This window comes from Homo sapiens, chromosome 10, assembly GCF_000001405.40.
Source record: "Homo sapiens chromosome 10, GRCh38.p14 Primary Assembly".
Taxonomy (NCBI): domain Eukaryota; kingdom Metazoa; phylum Chordata; class Mammalia; order Primates; family Hominidae; genus Homo; species Homo sapiens.
Genome location: NC_000010.11, coordinates 43,593,425 through 43,599,234, shown reverse-complemented (window position 1 = coordinate 43,599,234; position 5,810 = coordinate 43,593,425). Strand labels below are relative to the sequence as shown.

The window sequence follows — 5,810 nt, the reverse complement described above, 5'->3', positions numbered from 1 at the left end:
ATGATATGATCTACAAAGCAGTCAGAAACCTCTATTCAAGAGTATAATTCCTGGTTCTTTCCATGAATATCCTTGAAGACATAACACTCTAGGATTTGCACAGAGCTAAAAGCTCTATGCAGAAAAGCATCAGATTAAAGCAATTCACTACATGTACCAAGATATATCAACTTTTTAGAAACCTCATACAATTTTGAAATAATATTCGTAACATATTTATGGTGTTGGGCTCTTTGCAGGCTTTCACAGGCTGAGCCTCTGTGCAGTCATAATGCTGCATGGAAGCCACATCATCACTTGCATGGCCCCTCCAGCCAGCCGGGCACCTGAGATGAGAACTGCACCCAACCCAGCACCACAGCTCAGCCCCCAGCAGCAGCCCCACCCTCTGCAACTGGCTTTTGTGCTGCTGCACCTTGGTAGCTAGCTCTGATGGCCCAAATGGCAACCACTGCAGCTGGCATTGCTACAGGCTCTACTGTGGGGCACACACTGGGGGCTTTAGTGGAAGAAATAATGCTGAGCCTCCAAGGCCTGGCCTCACTTACCAAGAACCTCAGGGAACCCGGCCAGCACAGCAGCAGCAGCCTTGCTTCTGAGATGAAACAGTTTTTGGAGCGTGGCCAGAACCAGGATGACATAAAGCTCTGTGAGGTCTCAATGAGGTGCTGAAACAGTGCAGATTTGCAAATGGAATAGCCTAATCAAGAAGTCCAAACTGAAGAAATGAAAATGGCTCTCATGACCAAGTTAATTTAGCATAAAATATAATTGACAGTAAAGGTATAAAGTATAAAACCATCAGTTAAAATTCTCCTCTGTCATTCATATCTTTCCTGCTTCAGAATTACAATGGAAGAGGGTGTTCTCAATGTGTAGAATTTCACCGAGATGGTATAGAATTTTGGGCTGGACAAATATTTCTGTGGTTTCCTTAAACGAGCTGTTGTAATTTTATTGTTTGAGCGTTAATTAGAATAAAGTGATTTTCTCACCACCCCCCCACCCAAAACAAAATTAATATAGGCATGCTGGCTCACATCTGCAATCCTAGCACTTTGGGATTTCAAAGCTGAGGACCTCTTGAGCCCATGAGTTTGAAACCAGCCTGAGCAACATGGTGAAACCCCATCTCTACAACAAATACAAAAAAATTAGCTGGGTGTGATGGCATGAACCTGTGGTCCCAGCTACTTGGGAGGCTGATGTGGGAGGATCGCTTGAGCCCAATAGTCCAGGCTGCAGTGAGCCGTGACTGTGCCCCTGCACTCCAGCCTGGGTGACAGAGTGAGACTCTCAAAAAAAAAAAAAAGCGTACATTCATGCAAATACGAATCAAAGAAAGTTAAACATTTCTTTCTTTTTCTTTTCTTTTTTTTTTTTTTTTGACAGGGTCTCTCTCTGTCATCCACGCTGGAGTGGCAGTCACTGCTCACTGCAGCCTCCACCTCCCAAGCTCAAACCATCCTTCTACATCAGCCCCCCAAGTAGCTGGGACAACAAGCATCAGCCACCATACCCAGCTAATTTTTTAGTTTTTTGTAAAGACAGGGGTCTCACTATGTTGCCCGGGCTCTAAACATCATTTCTTATTTGTCATTGCTCCCGATATGATTCTAACGTACCAGGCCTGGAACAGTGGGCTCACACCTATAATCCCACCACTTTGGGAGGCCAAGGTAGGAGGATCACTTGAGTCCAGGAGTTGGAGACCAGCCCGGGCAACATGGTGAGACCTCATCTCTACAAAAAAAATAAAATAAAATAAAATACAAAAAATAATCAAAATTAGCCTGGTGTGGTGGTGCATGCCTGTAGTCTCAGCTACTAGAGAGACTGAGGTGGGAGGGTCTCTTGAGCTCAGGAGGCTGAGGCTGCAGTGAGCCAACATTGCACCACTGCACTCCAACCTGGGTGAGAAAAGGAGATCCTGTCTCAAAAGAAAAAAAGCCCTGAAAGAATTCACTGCCACCAGACCCATCTTACAAGAAATGTTCAAGTGACTTCTTCAGTCTGAAAAAAAAATCGCTAATGTGAAAAAAATGGAAGTACAAAACACACTAGTAAAATTAAATACATAGAAAAACCCGGAATGCTCTAATACTGTAATTGTGGCATACAATCCACTCACAATTCTACTATGGAGCCCAATAGGCATGAGACAGAAATTTAAAAATAATAATAACAATAAGTACTGCATTTATTCACTCCAAGAAAAGCGAATAAATGCAGTAATTAAAGGTGAAGTGAGAAACACAAGTTTTTCTCTGCTGCAGGCAAGGGTATAGACAGGTCGTGGTGACCTAGCCTGCAGAAATGAACTCCAGACACCCCCAAGCAAGGTTAAAAGAAGAAAAATTCCTTTACTGTCTCTCCTGTATTGTACTATTAGTTATGACTATGTTTGCCAATGCTTGTATTTAGTAGGATTTGCAAAGTTCCTGTTTTTCTTTTGATGCAGCTGCTAGCCACTAGCTATGCAAGGCCACAGGTTATTGCCAAGGTCAGCAGTTATGCTATGGATTACATGACTAGTCACTGTAAAACTCACTGCCTTTGTTTTGCTTTTGAATGCAAGCCTATATAAGCTAAACTCTGTTTTGTTCAATGCTTAGTTTTTGGATGTGAATCCACTGAGCCGGTGCGTGCCTTAAATAAACATCCTCTTATATTCCCCATTTCGATCTCTCTGGTCCTCAGTTTACCACAACATTTTGGCAAGCCAGCCAGGAGTGGAGATGACAGGCTTACTATCTCCTTTGCCTGTGGGGCTGGAGCCCCGGGTCAAGGGAAAACTGTGACCCCAGGCGTGGCTGGGAGAACTTCAGCCCAGAGGGGAGATAGGCTCTCCTGTGACCCAGTGCCCCTACCCAGCAGTGCAACAGAACCTGAGAGGGGCTACAGGAGGATTACCAGGAGCAGCATGCTTCAGGAACCACGGTAAGGTATTGGGGCCCAAGGCAGGACCTGTTCCATAAGGACAGAAGGGGAGCCTGATCACCTCCTGGGGTGTAACTCATAATCCGACCCAGAGAGGTAGGGAGCAGTGAGAGTGGCTCACCAATTTAGATTAAACTCACACCCCAACCAACACAGGATGCGAGAGTGGCTCACTAAGTTGGTTAGGAAAAGGAAATTGGAGGTGGTGAGAGTGGCTCACTACCCTAAATAGGAACACAGGAACTGGGAGTGGGGAGGTGTGTGAAAGTGTGTGAAAGAAACAGTTTCAAAAGGAACCAATGCGGGGAGTGATGTGGGGAGTCATAAATCTCTTAGCGTGCACTGTGTGCTCCAAGCAAAGTGTGGGGCTGACCTGGACTAGTGGCAAGCTGCATGCAACTAATAGGAGCTGCCCCACAGCTCAGAGTTGTGGTGGGAATAAGAACCCCTCCAAAGCTAAGCGGCATCTGAAAACTCCCTCAATAGGAGACAGTCTGGTCAGCCTGAGGCAAAAGGAACAGTGAGTGTACTGCGCCACAAAGGGAGGAATGGAAGGAAAGTCATCAAAACCCACTCCATTGGAGTGCAAGTTACAGACCTTTAAGAAATATTTTGCAGGGGATTATGGAGTTAAGCTGACCCCCCAAAGGTTGAGAACTCTCTGTGAATTAGAATGGCCTCCTTTTGGTATTGGATGGCTGACCAAAGGAACTATAGACAGGGAAATAATTGGCCATGTATTTAAGGTGGTGACAGGGGTCGGAGGACAGCCTGGGCATCCAGATCAATTTCTTATATTGACTCATGGTTAAATATAGTACAAACAAGACTGGCCTGGATCCAGCCCTGTTTAGCAGCTTATCAGAAAACACTTGTGGCCTGAGCTGAGCCAAAAATGAAAGTAAGAGCAGCTTCGCTGGCAGACACAGAGTTAAAGGGAAAGTCCCAGAGGAAGCAAAAGAAGCCAGTCTTGCAGGAGCTGCCAGAAGGAGCAGAGATTCTTCCTCCATGTGTTCCACCCTTTGCTGAGGCCAACAGCCCCCCAAGAACGAAATTCAGGAGCTAGCACACCCCAGGTTTCACCCCAAAGGGAAGGATCGGAGCCTCGAGAGGCCAGGGAAGGAAGTCAAGATAGTCAAGCAGGCCGTCTCAGATCTGACCATGCTTAAGCTATGCAAGTGCCTCTCAGGGAGACGTGAGGACCCATTTATTGTGATGACCAAGGCCAAGTCCAGGGGGGGCAACGGACTTGCATCTATCAGCCCTTTTCAACCACTGATCTCTTAAACTGGAAACACCATACTCCCTCCTATATGGAGAATCCCCAAGCTCTTATAGATCTGATGCAGTCCATCCTTCTGACACACAATCTAACCTGGCCAAACTGCAGGCAGCTTCTTCTCACACTGTTTAACACTGAGGAACACAGGAGAGTAACCCAGGCAGCTCTCCACCAGCTTGAAGCCCATGCACCAGCAGACACAGTGAATGCTCAGGCATACACTCCGGGCCAGTTCCCAGACCAAGATCCCAGCTGGGACCTGGAAGATGTGACCCAGCTTCAGCATTTGCAGAGGTACTAAGAGGCACTTCTGCAAGGGCTAAGGGATGGTGGAAAAGAGGCAATCAATATAGGAAAGATCTCAGAGGTGCTTCAGGGAAGTGATGAGAGCCCTAGCCAGTTTTATGAAAGACTCTGTGGGGTATACCAGCTTTTCACCCCATTTGTCCCTGAGGCTGTTGAACATCAGCATATGGTAAATACATCATTTATAGGACAGGCCCAGGGTGACATAAAGTGAAAGCTTCAGAAACTGGGAGGCTTCTCAGGCATGAATGCCACCCAGCTTATAGAAGTGGCCACTAAGGTGTATGTTAACTGTGACCAGGAGGCAAAGAAGGAAGCAGATCAGAGGCTTAAGAAAAAGGCCAATTTGTTGGCAGCAGCCCTTATAGAAAGAGAGATTAGTAATGTGAGAGGACATGGACATGGACGTGGATGTGGAAGAGGTCTAGTTAGACAGGGATTCAAGAGCTGACCAAGGCTAGAGAAGGATCAATGTGCACAGTGTAAAAAGAAGGAACACTAGAAGGATGAATGTCCAAAAGGCAATGAGGGAAATGGCCAAGGCTGTGAGACAAAGAGGCCATTGGCCAGGGGCTGCTGCACCCTAGAGGAACCAGATACTGATCTAATCGGGCTGGCAGGGGCTGAAGGATATGAGGACTAGGACAGACCAGGATCATTCTCATTGGGCCTCCAGGAGCTTATGGTCACATTAGAAGTTGGAGGACAATTGATGGACTTTATGGTAGATACTGGGGCTGAACACTCTGTAGTAACTCAACCCTTAGTGCCATTATCCAAGAACTATAAAACTATTGCAGGGGCTACTGGAGTCTCAGAGAAGAGGCCATTCTGCCAGTCAAGGAGGAGTGTTATAGGAGGATGAAAAGTTCAGCATGAATTCCTATAGCTCCTAAACCGTCCAGTTCCCTTGTTAGGGAGAGACCTACCTCAAAAACTGCACGCACAGGTTACTTTTGGCCCACAGGAAGATATGACTTTAAATCTAAGTCACCCGAAGGCCATGGTGTTAATCTCTATCATCCCACAGGCTGAGGAGTGGAGACTTTATGGAAAGAAACTACAGGCACCAACGCAGCCTTGTACATAGGATGAAGAGAAATTATTTCAGTTAGTTAGAGAAATTCCTGGAGTTGGGCTGAAGACAATCCATCTGGGTTAGCTGTAAATCAGGCACCAGTAGTAATAGAATTAAAACCAGGAGCAACTCCTGTTCGGGTTCGTCAGTACCCAGTTCCCCAAAAGGCTGTATGGGGCATCTGTAAACACTTAGAGTGGCTCT

At 46.3% G+C, this 5,810-nt stretch overlaps 1 pseudogene across 1 annotated transcript, besides 1 other annotated feature; it reads left to right on the top strand.

Annotated features, from left to right (window-relative positions):
• The first annotated feature begins 271 nt into the window (after nucleotides 1-271).
• Nucleotides 272-995, top strand: LOC107984165 (coiled-coil-helix-coiled-coil-helix domain-containing protein 2-like; annotated as a pseudogene). The gene has a single exon (XR_007062354.1). The product of XR_007062354.1 is annotated as a coiled-coil-helix-coiled-coil-helix domain-containing protein 2-like (transcript).
• Nucleotides 3,600-3,679: an enhancer, noted in NCBI's record as "active region_3303". NCBI's record gives its function as "activates an Ori minimal core promoter by ATAC-STARR-seq in GM12878 lymphoblastoid cells {active_cell/tissue: GM12878}" and the evidence as "EXISTENCE:reporter gene assay evidence [ECO:0000049][PMID:35858748]".